Here is a 19418-nt window from a genome sequence, read left to right on the forward strand (position 1 = left end):
GCAGAGTCTGGTACAGATCAGGGGCTCTATACACATGCACTGACTGAGTAAATAATAGCCCAGGCAGGAGGCCAAGCCCTCCCTCAGCCATGGGTTTTCATGGTTCTGAAGTTGGTGCTGGGTCAGTAAATCTCTATATGTGCAAGAGCCCCGTCCCCTCCTGCCTGATGTAGACAGCAAGGCTCCCAAAGAAGCACTAAGGGTTGGATTACTTCAGAGCCAGAAAATACATAGCCTGTGGCAGGTTTACCTCTGAGATAAGCAGCCCACATGGCATGGAGATGACTTGAGGCCAGCTCATAAGGGAGAAGCATCCAGCATTGCCACAGGGGCCTCCAGACCAGGACTTAAGCAGATCAAATAGGGGAGGCTGTGTGTTAGAGGGGAATCAAAATCATCAAAATCATCAAAGCCCCAACCACCAGGTAGTGAACTCCTGTACAGGCTAGAGACTGTGCTGGGTACTCTGCAGTTTGCCTTAGTCTCCCAAATGTGACCCCACCCCTTAATCTTCTCTCCATCACCTTATGCCTGACCCTCTTACCCAGTCTTCTTGGGAGCCCCTTGTCCCTTCTCTAATCAATTCTACACTCAGCAGCCAGAGTGAATGTCTAGAATATACTGCAGGTCATGTCACTCCCCTGCTCAAAACCCTTCAATGGGTCTGGGTGTGGTGGCTCATGCCTGTTATCCCAGCACTTTAGGAAGCCGAGGTGGGAGGATCGCTTGAGCCCAGGAGTTTGAGACCAGCCTGGGCAGCATAGTGAGATCTCTTTATCTCTTTACAAAAGAAAAAAAAAATAGCCAGATGTGGTGGCATGCACCTGTGGTCCCAGCTACTTGGGAGGCTGAAGTGGGAGGATTGCCTGAGTCTGGGAAGTTGAGGCTACAGTGAGCCGTAATTGCGCCACTGCACTCCAGCCTGGGCAACAGAGCATAACCTTGTCTCAAACAAAACAAAACAAAACAAAACAAAAAAACAACACAACCTTCCAATGTCTCCGATCACCCTAAGAATAAAACAAAAGTCCTTACAGTGGCCTACAAGGTCCTCCGTGTCCTGGCCTCTGGCACCATCTCCATCTTTGTCCTACCCCTGGCTCCAGCCTCTCTGGTCTTCTGTCCCTCAAACTTCCTGACTATACCCCTTCCTTGGGGCAGCTGCATGCACTCTTCCCTCTGCCCAGCATGCCCTGATTGCCCCGAGGTGACTTCTTGTCCTTCAGTTCTTACCTCCTCAGAGAGGCCTACCCTGGCCACCCTCTCTAATTAGGCCCACACCCCCAAGTCACTCTCTGACACATCAGTGTTGTTTTTCTTCATAGGACTTAAAACGATCAGAAGTTACCATATGCACTTCTTTATTCCCTTGCTAATTTTTTTGCTTCTCCCACCAGAGCTCTTCCTGGGAGCAGCGACCTTGTCCGTCTCTCCTTCACTGGACCTCCAGTCCTTGGCATAGGGCTTGGCCCCATGCAGGGCTCCATGCATATGTGCTCATGAATGGATGGCACCGCCCCCGTGCCTCCAGGCTGGCCTCTGATAGTCCACGCAGCCGAGCAGACAGTCTGGGCTCCATGGGAAGAGCTAATCCCAAGCGTGTGGACCGACAGATGGTGTGGAACCCAGAGCGGAGGCGCAGCTTTTATTAGTTTGAGTTGCTTTTGCTTGGAATAGGATTAGCATAAGTACCATCCCAGGCAAGTGGATAAGGTAAAGCTGTGTTAGTTACATTCAGATTTTGTTTCTCGGCCACAATCCTGGGCCAAACTTCTGCTGGGTCAGTCCAATTCATGCCTAAGGGTACTACTCAGGAAGGTCAACTGGAGTGGCCAGTCCCCTCTCCACATTGACCTCTAGAGTGGCCTGTCCAACTCCTAAGTCCAACCTTCCCACACCGGGCAGAAAGCTTTTTACTGGCCCCGTTGCTCCCGGGTGAGGCCTAAACACTTGATGATGATGAAGATGAAGATGTGATGATGGTAGCCATCACACAGCTCTCCCATGTAACCCTCACGACAACCCTGCAAGGCAGATAGTATCACCATCCTCATTTGGCAAATGAAAAGCTGATGGCTCAGAGAAGTTAAATGACTTGCCCAAGGTGACTGAGCCAGTAGGCCACAGACAGGCTCCAAATCCCAGTCTGGACCGATTGGATGGGCATTCCTGGGTGGGCCGGCCTCCCTCTCTGGCAAGGCTGTCATGCTCCCCCAGTGCCCTGGCTTCAGCTTTGGCTGGATCAGTAAAGAGCCAAGTCAAAGATCAAGTCAGGGAAACTCATGTTTTGTGGCTAAGAAGTATTGCTACCCTTAATCTCTTCACTTTCTCTTCAGCTCCATGAAGGAGCATTTAACTTTTGGAAGGAGTCATTTTCCACAAAGAAACAGTTCTTAAAAATCACTGTGGGTTGGGCTCACTGGCTCACACCTGTATTCCCAGCACTTCAGGAGGCCAAGATGCAGATCACTCGAGCTTAAGAGTTCAAGACCAGCCCGGGTAACGTGGCAAAACCCCAATTCTACAAAACAACAACAACAACAACAACAACAACAACAACAAATAGCCAGGCATGGTGGCGTGCACCTGTAGTCCCAGCCACTAGGGAGGCTGAGGCGGGAGGATCACTTGAGCCGGGAGGTTGAGGCTGCAGTGAGCTAGGATGGTGCCACTACACTCCAGCCTGGGCGACAGAGACCCTGTCTCAAACAACAACAAAATCACTGTGTAATAATGTGTATAATAACAATAAAAGCTAACATTTATGGAGTATTTATTAACTGCCAAGACTATGCTCAGTGCTTTTCATGCATTATCTCATTGTTTGAAATTTCAATAATTTACGTGAATAAAGGAATTCTGCATATGTGATTTTTTTTTAAATAAGAGATTACAAAAAGGCGAAGAGAGAAAAGTAAGTCTCCCTGCCTCCTCTGCACTCCCATGTCCCTCTTCCCCTTCCCACAGACCACGCTGTGACCAGTTCCTTTTATCCTGCAGAGAGAGTCCATGAATGACCCTCGACAGTGCTTTGAGGTATTATTATTCTGGAGTTACATATTAGGAAACTGAGGTTCTGAGACAGGAAGTCACTTTCCCAAGGTCACACCACTTCAGGGCAAAGCTGGGAGTTCACCCCAGATGTGCTGACTGAAGCCCATGTGTTGAGGGTCACCCTGCCTCCCACAAAGAGGAGAGAACCAGAAAGCTGAGCTGAGAAGTGTGTGCTGGGCAGCCAGCTGGACTTGCTCACAAATAGGCTTTGGCTGCATACACTGGTCTTGAAGAATTCAAATTTGGTCCTCAGCAAACTGACAAATTATAAGCTGTTGCAGACCATGTAGGTTATTGACAAAGAGTCAAAGCTGCAAATACTACAATCCTGAATCCTACCAGTCATCGTTCTTGCTGTTTCCTGCTTCCTTGTGCCTCTACGTCCTTGGCTGGTCATTCGCAGGCGTCAGCTCAGACAAGCTGCTCAGTATAAAGAAGGTCATGGGAAGCAGAGGAGGCAGTGCACAGCTCTGCAGCTCTAACACCCGGGCTAGGCCTCAGCTCTGCCCTCTGCATGGCTGGGGCAGTCCTGTCCCTCTCCAAGCCTCAATGTCTTCACTTGGGAAATGGGAATCATTCTATCTAATCAAAAGGTTTAGAGATCCTCAAGTGAGGTAATGAAACCCAAATGATGGTAATTAGCAAAACTCCATGCAAATGTAATGTAATTTTTTTTTTTTTTTTTGAGACGGAGTCTCGCTGTGTCACCCAGGCTGGAGTGCAGTGGCGTGATCTTGGCTCACTGCAACCTCTGCCTCCTGAGTTCAAGCAATTCTCTGCCTCAGCCTCCCGAGTAGCTGGGATTACAGGCACCTGCCACCACACCCAGCTAATTTTTGTGTTTTTAGAAGAGACAGGTTATCACCATCTTGGCCAGGCTGGTCTTGAACTCCTGACCTCCTGATCCACCCACCTCAATCTCCCAAAGTGCTGGGATTACAGGTGTGAGCCACCGTGCCCAGCTGCAAATGTAAAATTTTAATAACAATAAAGGAAAGTTGGAATAAACCTAGTAGCCTCTATGTGAAATAGGCTGGCTTACCTCACACCTGCTATCTGCTCACTTCCTTCCATTCCACCCACCAACCTGCATTTGTAAAATCGTTTACAGTTTACAAAATCCTTTTCATCCTGTTTCATTAGTCCTTGTCCAAGCCCTATGAGGCAGGAGGTTCCAAAGATGCCTTATCCTGATGTCCCACATTGCCTTCTCTCTGGTCATGACTGCCCAGGGGCAGCAGGGGCTGAGGCTGGGCCCCCAAAGAGGGAACTCAGGTTCTTTGACTCCTAGTCCTCTCCTCTCTCGACCTGAGCAATCTCAACAGAGACGTGCATGTGATAATCACTCCCAGTTGACAGATCAGGAAACCGAGGCTCCAAAAGAAGTGACTTGCCCAAGGTCACAGAGCTGGTGAGAGGTGGTGTGGTCCTCACACCTGGCCGTATCACTGCCCTGCTTAACACCTGCAGTGGCTGCCCTGGCCCACTGGCTAGAAGTCATGCCACTGAGCTTGGCTCTTGAGGCTTGCAGTGATCTGGCCCTCACCTCCCTCCCCAGATTAATCTCTCAGTGCCCTTTCTACACCTCTACCTTTCCAACTGTGTCATCATTCCCCAAATGTGCAATGACTTCTTAACCCCTTGTCTTTGCACCTGATGTTCCCTCTGCCAGGCTGCCTGTGGTCTCCTGCCCATCCTTGATTAATCCCTCCTATGCTCCCTTGCCAGGTACCTGACAGAATGAGCTTTCCTTGTTGCCATCATTACTGTACTGATCATTTCGCAGAGTGGATCAGACCCTAGGCTTTGGAGCTAAAACTGCTTGGGTTGAAGGCCTGGCTCAGCCACTTATTAGCTGAGTGATCCTGGATAAGTTCGTCAACATCTCTGTGCTGTGGGCATGTTTTCTCAGTTGTGTTATGAAGGTCCCTCCTGGGATTGTTGCAAAGAATAAATAATACATATAGAACAGTGAGCACAGGGCCTGGCACAGCATAAGCACTCAATATATGCTACCTCTTATTATTTTCTATTATTTGTATTTGGTGATGCCTACCATCTACCCGTCCCTGTGCTGGGCATGCCTAGCTGACCCAGATGCAGTCTCTGGCTTCAGTCCCCAGGGGAGAAGAGAGGCAGGTAAATATCCCATGATAATGCATTTATTCTGACCAAGCCACTGTTTTGTTTAAATCATCCCCCATCTGCGTCATGAGCTCTAAAGAGCAAACAGCATTCTGCAACCACTTCTTCCTCACCAGACATGGACTGGGTCCTCATGTCCCCACCCCACTGCGTGTCTCATCCATGGGGAATAGTTTTGTGAGCTCCCCTTCTCTCCATGTTAACCCCAGAGTCAGGCTGTTCCCAGAGTGCAAGGGAAGACTCAGCTGCAGCACAATTTATCTCCCTGGGCTGCTCCCTCAGCTGAGATTTACGGGCTGTGCCTGTCACGGTGACCCTGCAGGCTCAATTACAGATCTGCTTCTAGGCTAGACTGGGGCAGGAACCTGCTTAGATTTGCCAAGTGGCCCCGAGGGAGAGCCACAGGCCCTGTCAAACATGGGACCTCCGAGGGCATGGGGACCATTTAGCTGCCTCGCTTGTCACACACAAGGAAACTGAGGCTAGACACAGGAAGACACATTCAAAGCTCCCACCAGTGAAAATGGGCCCAGCATGAAGTCTAACCTGGGCCCCTGAGTGCCATTAAGGGAGCTTATTTTACTATACGTGAGTATATGACTTCATTATTACTCAAATCGTTTTCTTTTTATGTAACAAAAATATTTACTATGGAAACATGCTTTGAAACTTAAACCAAAAGCAAAATATTGCACTTCCATAAACAAAGACCCTATTCTGTCCCCACAAGCACATTAGAAATGTATTAGATGAAACTTAAACATTGCCTGGCTTCACTGGCTGGTGGTTACAAAATGGAGTCCCATTTTTGCCAAAAGAGTCGATGACCCTGAGCTCCACTTCTACATAAGCAGAAACTTATCCTTCTCAGAAGCTCCCCTAGTTATTCCTGGGAGTCCCCAAGAATAGCCACAAGGTAGCCTGTCAATTGTGGTCACCGTATTTGCCGGTCCTTCCTCTCCAACTCTGGCTCCTTCCTCATCAATATCCTCAGTTAGTGAGGCCTTTGGAAGGAGTCCCATTGCTGCTGCTGTTAATGGTGCCTGCAATGAGGACAGTGTCAGGGGCAAAGATTCCTTATCCTGGTGCCCCATACTGCCTTCTCTCTGGTCATGACTGCCCAGGGGCAGCAGGGGCTAGGCCTGAGCCCCCAAAGAGGGAACCCAGGTTCCTTAACTCCCAGTCCTACAAAGTGCAGAGTGGAGTCTGACTTACCTGCCTCCCCGCCTTGTGGATTACAACTTATCAGTTGAGAGTCCTTGGTCAGGCCACCTCTCCTCTCTGAACCTGAACAATCTCAACAGTGACATGCAGGTGATAATACCCACTTGGAACAGTCGTCTTGAAGATCGAATGAGGTCATAGATACACAATGCCTGGCACATAGTAGGTGTTCACTGAATGAACCACTGTTACCATTATTATTATTCTGTCTGAGGCTGAGTTTCTCCAGAAATAGACTCTAAAACATTGATTTGAGACAAGTGGTTTATTTGAGAGGTGAGTCAGAGGAGGTGTTGGAACACCTAAAGAGGTGTTGGAACGTGAAACAGGGAGGAAAAGAAGCCAACAAAGGGTGTGTTATCAAGCTGATTTTCCCTGTAACCAGCCAGGGCTCAATTCCACTGAGGATTCCTGGATAATAGGGTACAACAAGCCTTACAGTTATCCCTATCAAGGGGCAAGGGAGGTGGGGTATCTATCCACCAAGAATTGTCTGGGATTTGCTGCAGGAGAACGGATATTAGCTCGCTGACAACTTTCCTGCATGCATGCAGGCCAGGCCCGGTGGGCTCCGAGGCCAGAGAAAGTCCTCAGGCAGAGTCACAAGGGCTGGCCCTTAGAGGCTGTCAGGTCGACATGCACAGAAATGGTGAGCATCAAGGAACACAGGCAGGACACTTTCAGTATCTGCTACAAATGCCATGTAGGGTCACTTCCTCTGAAAGACAAGACACTGAAATCTCTTTCAGGCTAGGGGAGCACAGGAGGAAGGCTACCTGGGGCCTAGTTCCAGCTGCCATCTTCTAATTGGACTGTGACCTTATTCTGCGCCATCTCTGGTCCTCAGTTTCCTCTCCTGTCAAATGGGGAGTTCAAAGCAGATGGATCTTGAGGTCCCAACCAACTCTCAGGAGTTCCTGAATTCATCTGGCTTTTTGGTTTGAGCCTCACAGCACCCCTTGGGGAGAGGTAGGAGGAGCCAGTGTGATTCTACCTGTTGAGAGGGGAACTTCCCTTCAGACTCAGAAGGAAAGTGACTAGGCCAGTGATTCTCAATGTGGATTCCCTCCACCTGCAGCCTTCCATCACCTGGGCACTTGTTAGAAAATGAAAATTCTTGGGCCCCACTTTAGACCTATTAAATCAGAAACGCTGGGGCTGGGACCAGCAATCGACAACCCCCCTTTAACAAAGTCCTCAGGGAGTTCTGACCCTGGGCATGCTCAGGTTTGAGGCCAAGGTCAGACAGTGAGCTAAAGGCAAAGCTGGAACTGGAACCTAAGTCTTCTTTCTCCCAGGCGTCCTTTGAACCACCTGCACACAGGGCCCAACCTGGGCTTCGGTGCTCACTAGGAGCACTCAGTGTCTCTCAGCTCTTCCCAGATGCCTTCCTTTCCCACTCCCATCTGATGTGCCTGGGGCTTATTACAAATCTCAGCTTGGGGAGAGGAAAAGAAAACTAATTTTGAAGTCCTAGAAACTCTGGCAGAGCAGCTGGGAGCTTCTAGTTATCCCTTCTGCATACACCTACTTCCCAGGGCCACTGAAAAACGGGGGCGTCTAGCAGAGTTTCCCAAGGTCAAACAAAGCTCTTTCTTCTGCAGAGAGCCTTGGTCACAGCATCAAGTAAGGGCAGGGTTGGGTAGGTTTGGGGTGAGGTCTGGGGGTGGGGTGGGCGGTGGAGGGGTGGAATGCAGCTAGTGAAGAATGCAGTAGAGTCCCTACAGATCCTCCAACAGTGGCAGTTGAAATGCCTGAGAGGGGAGAGGACTTAGCCAAGGTCACTCAGCCAGATCTGGGCCTCCTGACCACCGCCCAGCTGCCCAGAGGAGGCCTTTTGGCTCACTCTCTCCTCTCCAAGCTCTCCTGCAAGGGCTCTTGGGATTACCATGTCTTTGCACCATTCTGCAAATCTGACTCCATGCTCACTGGGCATCATGCTTCCTGGTCTGTGCTAGGTCTAGGCTGGGCACTGGGGATGCAGAAGTGTGAGTCAGCCACGGTGACTCAAGGAATCACCGAGACACCTGCAGAAATATTCCTTGGGCAGCGGGTTGGTACCATCACACACTCCTAGCCTCCAACCGCACTTACTTCTTCCACTGACTCTGGTTGGCTCACCCATTCCTGGGCCTCTCAGGAGCAGTTAAGGGGCTCTTCCCTTGCCTAAGCCCTCCAACTGCACCCTCACCTCCTATACTCACAGATGGCCTTGCCGCCCATGCCACAAACAATATAAGCATCTCATAGCAGCTCCCTCCCCCTCCCCCTGCAGGAACACGAGCTGCACTGTCGTGTTCTCAGAGGCTGTGCTGTCCTGTCACTGCCCGCCCCTCCCCTTGTGCTCCAGCCCCTGCCTCCCACTCTGTAACAGGCCTTGCTCTACTTCAATGTCCACCTCTCGCCCCCTTCCTTAGCTTTTCCCGTCAGTATTTAAATGCACTTAAAGCCTTTCCATCCTCAACAAACAAAACCAAACAGACAGAAACCAGGGTCACCATCCACTAAATCAGCCCCCTCCACCCTCACCGGTGCTCCAGCTCCTCCTCGCCTCTCTCCTGCTTGAGAAAGGCCACACTTCTCCAGGGAGCCACGACTCTCACTCTCTTAGCTCCTCTCCTCAACTCCTCCTCGGCCCTATCTTCACTTGCCCGGGTCACAGTGCTGTCCTCATTCCTAATTATGAATCAAGGCTGTGGGTCCCTTCCCAGACTGGCGGCTGCCACATCACCACTACCCTCCTAGATCTCAGGCTGTTGTGGGCTCCTCTCCATTCATCCAGCTATTATTTAAGTAGCTATTTTTCTGTGTCGGTCACTGGGCTTGAGTCTAGTGACTCAGTGATGAGCAAGAGGATCAGGATCTGCCTTCCAGAGTGCAAGGACAAGGGGATCCTCGGAGGTCCTGCTCTAATGCCCCTCCTCTCCCCGCAACACACACCCTCTCCTGATCATCTCAGCTACACGCTGATGACTGTCAGAGCCTAGCTTCTGCCCCGACTTTCCCCCAAGCTCCACATCCACACCTCTAACTACTTGGGGGACAATTCCACCTGCATGGTCCACAGGCAACTCAGACTTGCAAGGTCCAAACCAAACGAGTTCTGCTCCTTAAATTTCCCCCCTTCCCCTATACCAAGGGCGGAGCCACCATTCACACAACTCACAAGCCATAAACTTGGGAGACATTTTTCACTCCTCCCTCCAGCCCCACATTCCAACCATCTGCTTTCTCTTTTAAATTTCATTTTATTTTTAGAGACACTGTCTTGCTCTGTCACCCAGGCTGGTGTGCAGTGGCATGATCATGGCTCATTGCAGCCTTGAACTCTTGGCCTCAAGCTATCCTCCTGCCTCAGCCTCCTGAGTTGCTAAGAATACAGGCTCAAGATATTGCACCCAGCCCACCTTCCTTCTAAATCAGTGGCATTGTCCTTGCCACGGCCACTGACCTAGGCTCACGTCACTGAGACACTCTCCAGCCCATCTTCCACATCCAGTCTTGTGCCCTCCAAGCCATTGTATGGACATAGCTAGAGAGGTCAAAAGTAAGCCCGAACAGCCCAAATGTCCATCAGTTGGAGGAATGGGTGGACAATTCGTAGTGCTCACCCACACAACGGAATATTATTCATCCAGAAAGAGTAATGAAGTCCTGATACATGTTACAATGCTGATGAACTTCAAAAACACACACCATCACAGCCACCACACACACACAATCACAACCACCACACACACAATCACCACACACACCATCACAGCCACCACGCACACACACAATCACAACCACCACACACACCATCACAGCCATCACACACACAATCACAACCACCACACGCACAATTACCACACACACCATCACAGCCACCACGCACACACACAATCACAAGCACCACACACACCACCACAGCCACCACACATGCACATCATCACAACCACCACACACCATCACAACCACCACATACACAATCACCACACACACCATCACAGCCACCACTGCCACCACACATACACCATCACAACCACCACACACACAATCATGACCATGACACACACCATCACAACCACCACACACAATCACACACATACCATCACACACACACAATCACACACATACCATCACACACACAATCACCACGCATACCATCACAGCCACGACACACACAATCACAACCACCACACACAATCACACACACCATCACAGCCACCACACACAATCACAACCACCACACAATCACACACACCATCACAACCACCACAGCCACGATACACACACCATCACAACCACCACACACGCAATCACCATCATCACAACCACCACACACAGTCACCACACGCATCATCACAACCATCACACAAACACACAATCACGACACACCACCACACATCATCATCATTCTCCACAGAGCACAGCAGCAGGGCGGGTGCAGGCAGAGCAGTGGCTGGGGGCGTCACTGCAAGAGTGAAGGGGCCAGGCCGCGCAGAGCCTGTGAGCCAGGCTGGAGCGCTTCACCCTGCAGGCAATGGGGGGCCGTGGCTGGCCTGAGCAGAAAGGTCCCTCTGCTGGGGTGTGGGAATGGAGTAGAGAGGCGGGAGTGGCCATGGCCAACTGTTCAGAAAAAGCCCCTGAGGGAGGCAGATGGCACCCTCGCAGTCCCTGCAACGCGGGGTAGGTGGAAAGGGTGTGCTCAGGTGCCAGAGCAAGAATTCTTGGACCTAGAACCTGGAACCACGTGCAAGCTGACATCCTCCCTCACCCTTAGTGCACCACACTCCGTGGCTTGGTCGTGGTCTGGACGAAATTGGGGCATGGCTGGAGGCGGGAGCTGGGTGGTCTGGTGGTGGCAGTGGGGCGAGAGAGAAAGGAGTGGACTGGAGAGATGGTGGTACGTGGGCGGACAGAGCTGGATGAGAGACCTGGGAGAGGGAGAAATCCGAGGCCAGCGCAGAAGTCTGGGTGTGGAGAGGCCGCTCATCCAAACGACAGGAGAGGCTCAGGGAGCGCCAATGATTCCGTGTGAGGCACAGGGCGTGGCTGCGGGTGGGTGGGAGGGCGACTGCAGCATGGGAAATTTCGGTGGAGAACCAGATCAGGAGTCACCAAATACCATGGAGATGGTAACAAAGCCTACAGGGAGGCAGGGATTGTGCGGGGAGTCTGCAGCAGCAAAACCCCTGCTGGGATGAGGGGCCGGGCCCTCTCTGACCCCAGACCAGGCAAGGCTCCCGTCGTCCCCACTTTGCCACACTTGCTCGTCTAGGGGGACTGACCAGCCCCTGTTCGCCCAGGACTTTTCTCCTTTAAAACTGAGAGTCCCACGTCCCGGGAATCCCCGAGTCCCAGGCAAACTGGGGTAAACCGGAACAATGGATTACGCCTCGCTTATCTCAGCCTTAAGGTTTGTTTGCTGTCTGTCTCCCCTAGTCAACGGTCACAGGAGGGACTAGGGGCTGCTTTGGGATGGAGGAGGAAAGCCGCAGGAAGCACCTTGGATCTTTTCCCGGCCTGGAAACCGGCGCCACTCGGCTGTGGCGTCTGTGGGTGTGTGGGTGGTTTGGCCTCCCAGGTCTCCCAGGCTCTCTTCCTCATCACTCTTTCTCTCCAGGGTGGCCGGCAGCTCCCGGTGGTGCCACGGAGCCCTCCTTGTGGTCCCACAAGATGGCGCTGTGTCCAACGCTAGCCCCGGCCTCTGCCAGAGAGGCAGGGGGACCCGGAGCGGAGCCACCTCTGAGCCCTTCCCAGACTCGGGGGTTCAGGGACGCGCAGGCAGCACGCACAGGCCGCCTCTTTCTCCAGGCATAGTCGTACTCACACGCACTCTCCCGCCCACCCAGACCCCAGATCCCCCGACACTCACAGCACGGCAGGAGCATAGGCAGAGCCAGGAGGGACCCGAGGGAGCGTCAGTTCCAGTCCCCTCTAGAGACAGTGCACGCGCGTCCACACACACGGGCATACACGCACATGAACACACACAGGAACACCCCACACACAACCACACACGCGCACCCCCACCTTGGGCTGTCAGGCGCCCCGCTTTGCTGAGGCTCCACCTTCCCCTTGAACTCTCCCTTCCCACTACCCCTGCCGTGCCCCTCACAGCTCTGCAGTGGGCATCAAATGAGGCACTGGGGGAGACAGTCTCGCGTGAGGTGTGGGGGGTAACATTAGATCCACAGGCACATATGCAAACACACCCAGGCACACCCGCCCCCTCACACCTGTGCCCCAGCCACATAGGAGGGAACGCCCGGGAATGCCAGCAGGGGACACACGGACACGCGGCTCACAAACTTGAGCTCGGGCTGCTCGGAGCTGCAGGTCCGGTCTGGACATCTGACACCAGCGGGGTCCCCCCTCCCAGCATCTCTTTCTGCCTTGAAACTAAACTGGGGACAGGGGGCCAAAGCCCAGGCAGGATTTCCCCAAGTTCAGTTCTGGCTGGGAATATGCTCTTGCATCCCACTGGCACCCCTGGCCCTGGTTCCAGCTCCCTCTATCCTGGCTGTGGGACCACAGGCAAGGTCCTCTCCTCTCTAATCCCTCCCCTGCTCCCTGGGGCTGAATTTTCTTCTATCAGACCTTAAAGAGGGCTTGGGGTATCCTGGTGAGAGACTTGGGCAGTGAGAGATGCACTGGGCTGGCGGGTCTGGCACACCTAAGTCAGAAATCCCTCTCCTCTGCAGACCCTCTGGGTGACCTTGGGCACCAGGATGAACCTCGCTGAGGGAATTCTGTCTCTAAGGAGCCTGATGAAGGCCCTGGTATGCCAGCGGCAGACGGGAGCTCTTTGCTTCCTCTAGGACACAGGGAATTATTATTTTGTGGCAGGGGAGTGTGTGCAGGGGGAACCTGGGGAAAAGAAAGGATTTCCACAGCCCTGATAGAGCTGAGATTATCAAATGATGAGATCTGCATCCGCAGAGAAGAAAAGGGTGAGCCAGTCTCAGAGCCCACCTGACTCCTTCCAACCCCACCCAGCCTTTGGCCTGGCACCCAGCCCTGTGAGCTCCTTCACTCTGCCAAGGTGTGGCCAAATCAGAGGAGGAGTGGGTGTCCAGGAGCGTGGGCTGTGGCCTGGGCATTCCTGCTTCCGTGTATATCTGGGTCTGTGTGGAAGCATGTGCAAGAGGGTATCTCTCCACGTGGCCGAGAGTGTACACCAGGGGAGCCTGGTGGTTTGGGTTGAAATCCCAGCGACATTTGTGGGCCTTGTGACTTTGTCCAAGCTCTTTACCTCAATGTGCCTCTATTTCCCCATTTATAAAATGGAGATAGATGATGGCCGAGTGCAGTGGCTCACGCCTGTAATCCCAGCACTTTGGGAGGCCAAGGCGGGTGGATCACTTGAGGTCAGGAGTTTGAGACCAGCCTGGCCAACATGGTGAAACCCTATCTCTAATAAAGTACAAAAATTAGCTGGGCCTGGTGGCGTGCACCTATAATCCCAGCTACTTGGGAGGCTGAGGCAGGAGAATCGCTTGAATCTGGGAGGTGGAGGTTGCAGTGAGCTGAGATTGAGCCACTGCACTCCAGCCTGGGCAACAGAGCAAGATTTCATCTCAATTAAAAAAAAAGATGGAGATGATTATGATAATAATAACTGAATAATAGCACAGATCTCACAGGGATGAAAGCGATGATACTAGTAAAAGCAGTTAGCTGAATGCCTGGTGGCACACGGTTGGTGTTCAAAAAAGTGTTAATAGCTATTTTGTGTATGCAGCTGCACTACATATTCCTTCATTCATTTTCATTCATTCGATGAGTCCCTCTCTGTGCCTGGCTGGTCCTGTGCTGGAGACTGAGGACACAGAAATGAATCAGACGGGGTTCTTGACCTCCAGGAGCATCCAGGATGACAGGGGAGACAGATCTGAACGCTGATGGCAAAGCAGAGCAGATGATGAAAGAGGAGCCAGGAGGCAGGAACGGGGAAGAGGCCCCTGGAAGAGGAGGGGCGCCGTCTCTCAGATCCCCACGCTCGCTGTGCACCAGTTCCGCTGGAGCCTTCATTGTTCCTGAACTGACCACCTGCCTTCCTACTTCCAGGCCTTTGCTTGTGCTCTGTCCTCTGCCCAGAATGCCTTCCCCTGCATTCTGCCTGGTCACTGCTGCACATCTTTAAAAGATTCAGCCTCAACAGTACTTCCTCCCTCCCACTCAGACTAAATGGCTCTTGGCTTTGACCACCACACGGATCAGAGACGACCCACACCTACAGTCTCCGGGAGCTACTTGTTTCCAACCCTAGATCTATCATCAACTTACTGTGTCACCTTCAGCATTTGAATTTACCTCTTAGGCCTCAGTTTCCCCTCTACAAAATGGGCAACACCTCTTTCTCAGGACAGATATGAGGATCAAAGGGCGGAATGTCTGGGGAAAGCACTTTGCAAATTGTAAATTGCTGGGCACCTGGACAGGGGAGTTGTTATTCAAACAGCTTCCTTTCCTCTCTTGGATGGGAGCCAAAAATTGTGTATACCCCACCGGTTCCGGCTGCGTTTACCTGGAGCTCAGGTGTGGGGCTGTTTCTGTTTAGGGTTTGTTTGTGTTTGATTTCAAAGGCAGGGAAACTCCCTCGCGCAGGTGATGTGGGCGGAGCCTAGTCAACACAGTTGCCAGGGGAATCCCGAGGGATGGGGGCCCTGATCACCCCCCACGGTGATCAGGCAGAAACTCACCCCCTGGAAGGAGAAAGGGCAGTGAGATTGCACTGCAGGGACAGGATGTCCTTTGGAGTCAGGTGACCTGGGTGCAAGTCTGGCTTTTCCGGGGAACCTTAGGCCAATCACCTTCTCTCGAGGGCTTCAGCTATAAAGTCAGTCCGTAGGATTTATAATTTGGGAAGCCTCTTTTACCCTGGGAGGCTGGGGGAGTCAAGTGGAGACCAGGAGCTGGTGTGACCATCCAAGGTCTCCCAGGCCTTGACCCTGCTGCGTGGGAAGTCCCTCCCCAGACAGGCCCTGTCCCCACCTGCCTCTCTGGCTTCGTTGCCTCCGCTCTCTCCTTTCCACTCTGTGCTCCAGCCACCTGGTGAACTCAGAGTCCCCTCAAGCTCCCCAAATCTCTAATCTCCTGCCTCCCCCAGCCCCCGGTCTGAAGCACCCTTCCTGCCCTTTCTCCTGTTCGGTGTTACCTCTCAGGACCCTGCCCAGGCATCACCTCTTCCAGGCCGTATTGGGGCTTCTGTTCTGGCCACAATACTCATTTGCTTTGAGTCACTGTTGGTTTATGGGCAGGTCTCCCCAAACCACTTATATTTGCCACTGTCTACCCTACAGCTCCTGGGTTCAGGGCAGGGCACCCAAAGGCATGAATAAATACCCCTGGAGTGCCCTTCGCTTGGTGGGGCCATCTGGGAAGTGCATGTGGTTTCATAGGAAGCCTCCAGGAGGAAGTGAGCTCAGGTCTCCACTCCATCACTTACTCCCTCACAAGACAGCAGGCAGTCTTCCCTAAGCCCCTAAGCTTGCTGAGCCCCAGCTTTCTCACCTGTGAAGTGGGGAAATCGTGAGGGTTAGAGTGGGTGCATGCCCGGGGGGCTCAGTGACCAGAACCCACTGCTACTGTATCTCCATTGCTTCCAGCTAGACCAAGGGAGATGGCGTCCTTGGCTCTTTGCAATGCGCTCTGCGGAGCGGCAGCCAGGGAGGCTCTGAGTAGCTGTGAGGTCTAGGCCCAGTTGGGGCCAGGGTGCTCAGAAAGCCAGAGCTGACTTCCCAAAGGTGCCCAACTCCCATGGCTGGATGGGCTTGGAAGAAGCCAGCAGAGGGCAGTGAGCCCTGCTGATTTTCCAGGAAGGAGGCCAGCCAGGGCCTTGTTGACTTTGAAGGGGAACATCAGGTGGCCCTGGGAGGAACTGAGGCTCAGTGTCCAGGTCAGCAGGGCCTGGCTTGCTCACTGTGTTTCTGGTGCCTGCGTGGGCACAACAGGCAGGCCAGTCAGTCATGAGTTCCTGGAAGACTTGACTGGGGGCAGCTCTGAGCTCTGACAAGGCACCTGCCATGGGGCAGCAGTTTGTTGGGGCTTCTCTAGGGCCTCAGAGCCCAGAACCCATTTTACAGCCTCCAAGGGGGCTGTGTCTTAATGGTCAATACTTAGGGAGCCTGTACTCTGCACTGATCGCTGTATCCAGAAAAGGAGTCAGAGTTCACGTGTAGAAGCGGGGACTCTGAAATCAAACCACCAGTTTGAGGCCTGGCTATGGTTACTATGGGTTACTCTCCATGCCTTGCTTCCACCAGCACTGAGGCCTAAGCAATTAATACATATGAAGTGTCTAGAACAGTTCTTGGCTCTTGGTATTAGCCTTCACCTAATGGGAGCTATGAGCTGTGACCTCAAGCAAGTTACCCAAATTCTCTGTGCCTCAGTTTCCTCATCTGTGAAATGGGGCTCCTAACAGTACCCACCTCACACTGTTATTACAAAGGCTACATGAACTAACTTAGGCAAAGCGCATAGATTCTTAGAACAACATCAGGTGCACAGTGCTCTGTGTGAATACTTGGCATGTATTTTGTTACAGCTGCAAATGTGAGTTGGTTATGACGTGTTTTCTCATGACCTCCCTGACATGCTCTACTGTAATGGTTGAGGTTTGAGCTGTATGGGCCAACATACTGCCTGGGTTTCTGGGTTTCTATCTTGCTTCTATCAATTCTTTTTTTCTTTTTCTTTTCTTTTTTTTTTTTTTTTTTTTTTGAAACAGAGTCTCGTTTTTTGCTTAAGCTGGAGTGCAACGGCACAGTCTCAGCTCACTGCAACCTCCACCTCCCAGGTTCAAGCAATTATCCTGCCTCAGCTTCCCAAGTAGCTGGGACTACAGTTGTACACCACCACACCCAGCTAATTTTTGTATTTTTAGTAGAGATGGGGTTTCACCACATTGACCAGGCTGGTTATGAAACTACCATTTCTTAGAAGGAATAATAATAGTTACTGTTTAGAGAATTAAATGAGCAAATAAATGCAAACAAATCTAGAAAAATGCCTGGCATTGAGTAAATCTCAATAAATGTTCCTACTATTAGTCTTAATTTACAGATGAGGAAACTGAGGCTTAGAGAGGTTTTGGAATATGACTGAGCTTCCAGACACTGAGTGGCAGGGCCAAGATAGGAACAACTCCAACCCCCTCTCCTGAAACCATGTACCTCATTCCTCCCTGGATCCGAACACCCCAGCCTGGGTCCTGGCTCGTGACGGGTGCTGGGGAAGGGTGTCCCAAAGGAGGCATGGGGAATTGCTCGGTCTATAGACCAAAGTTACTCAGGAGGAAGGTGGCAGAGATAGACTGGAATCCAGAGCTCAGCTCACTGTGTCAAACTGACATTTTCCAACAGTGTGTCTGGTTCTAATAGATCAAGAGCCTTTCTACATGGTAGGCTCTGTCCCAGGAGAAGACATCAATGACAGAAAAGGATATTCGCTTGCCCCTCTTGGTCCAGTGGGTGCCCTTGTTCTGAAGCCAAGGACACAGGGGGCCGCTTCCACAGTGGTTCCAAGAGAAGCAGCCAGTGCCATCTTGGTGCCTTAAATAACTTCCCAGCCTGTCTTTCTAACATTGCCCCAATACACCTCCCAGCACCCCCTACAGCCCTCTTCCTGGCTCCCAGCCATGACAGGCTCTTTCATGCCTCTTTGCATTTGCACATGCTGTTCCCTATGCCTGGGATGCCATTCCCCCTCCTCCCTGTGCCTGAGGGATGAGTCTCCTGGCGGTGTGAGTCCTCCCTTATACAAATTGAGTCATTCATCTTAACCCTGTCTTGTTCTCAAAAGTCTTTGACACAAAAGCACTTTGTCTATTTCTCTGCAAGTCTCCATGTGCGCCTCTGGATCTACCCGTTCCTCTTCACCCTGCTCTGTGCCCTGGGGAGGCCAACCCACACTGACTGCATGCACTGCCTTGGAGGCAGGAGGAGAAGGAAGCCAGGTCCTGTGGTTGGCTGTGCCCCTCCGTGGAAGCACACATCTCTTCCCCTCACCCTTCAGACCTGAGGATGATAAGGGCTCCTCACTGTCACTCGCCCCAGGTTCTGCACTCTCCCTTGTGGCTTCTCTATCCCCCGCCTTTTTTTTTTTGAGACAGAGTCTTGCTCTTGTCAACCAGACTGGAGTGCAGTGGCGTGATCTCAGCTCACTGCAACCTCCACCTCCTGGGTTCAAGCAAGTCCCCTGCTTCAACCTCTGGAGCAGCTGAGACTACAGGTGCGCACTACTACATCCAGCTAATTTTTGTATTTTTGGTAGAGACGGGGTTTTGCTGTGTTGGCCAGGCTGGTCTCGAACTCCTGGCCTCAAGTGATCTGCCTGCCTCGGCCTCTCAAAGTGCTGGGATTACAGGTGTGAGCCACCATGCCCGGTGGCTTCTCTGCCCCCTGCTCACACCTTTGTCAGTTATCTCTTTATTAAATGCTCTTCAAATTCCCAATTTCAATGTACTGTCTCCTGTTCCCACCACCCTGACAAATAGATGGACAGATTCTTTGAGCACTGTGTGCCTTACAGCTGCTTTCATGCATGTCTCTTCCCATTAGACAGTGAGCTCCTGGGGGCAGGCCATGCCTGAGCCAGTCTGCATCTCTGTGCAGGAGGACACGGAGAAGGCACCTGAGAAATGCCCTTGACTTAGATTGCACCACAATACAGGCATCCCACACACAGGACTGAATGACTTGAATGAAGTCGAATCCATCCATTCATTCACTCATTCAACCACAGATACTCATTGGGTGGCAGGGGTGAACAAGATGAAGATAGCCTCACGAAGCTGGCTTTGCAGTGAGGGGAATCAAGCATAGACAAGCAGAAGCAGACAGCTAATGGCATTTCAGATAGTGATGCCTGCTAGGAAGGAAATGAAGAAAAGCAAAGGGGTACCAGGGACAGGCTGGGGATGCTATTTTAGGTAAGTGGTCGGGGGGTCACGTGAGTAGAAAGGGACATGAAGGGGCCGAGTCAGGAGACGCTGTGGTGGAAGG

The 19418-nt window shown here is 52.0% G+C and overlaps 1 protein-coding gene across 1 annotated transcript in view, besides 3 other annotated features; it reads left to right on the top strand.

The window, feature by feature from the left end:
• Window positions 1-2866, top strand: part of TCEANC2 (transcription elongation factor A N-terminal and central domain containing 2) — a 58913-nt gene extending 56047 nt beyond the window's left edge. The window contains exon 5 of the transcript NR_130900.2: window positions 1398-2866. The gene's annotated coding sequence lies outside the window, so the exon portion shown is untranslated. The remainder of the gene's footprint in view (window positions 1-1397) is intronic.
• Window positions 1176-1415: a silencer, noted in NCBI's record as "fragment chr1:54576503-54576742 (GRCh37/hg19 assembly coordinates)". NCBI's record gives its function as "represses an EF-1alpha promoter that drives an FKBP-Casp9 reporter gene in an ReSE screen in phorbol 12-myristate 13-acetate-treated (for megakaryocytic differentiation) K562 erythroleukemia cells {active_cell/tissue: K562(+PMA)}" and the evidence as "EXISTENCE:reporter gene assay evidence [ECO:0000049][PMID:32094911]".
• Window positions 7327-7386: an enhancer, noted in NCBI's record as "active region_1054". NCBI's record gives its function as "activates an Ori minimal core promoter by ATAC-STARR-seq in GM12878 lymphoblastoid cells {active_cell/tissue: GM12878}" and the evidence as "EXISTENCE:reporter gene assay evidence [ECO:0000049][PMID:35858748]".
• Window positions 11813-11882: an enhancer, noted in NCBI's record as "active region_1055". NCBI's record gives its function as "activates an Ori minimal core promoter by ATAC-STARR-seq in GM12878 lymphoblastoid cells {active_cell/tissue: GM12878}" and the evidence as "EXISTENCE:reporter gene assay evidence [ECO:0000049][PMID:35858748]".

Source organism: Homo sapiens, chromosome 1, assembly GCF_000001405.40.
Source record: "Homo sapiens chromosome 1, GRCh38.p14 Primary Assembly".
Lineage (NCBI taxonomy): Eukaryota > Metazoa > Chordata > Mammalia > Primates > Hominidae > Homo > Homo sapiens.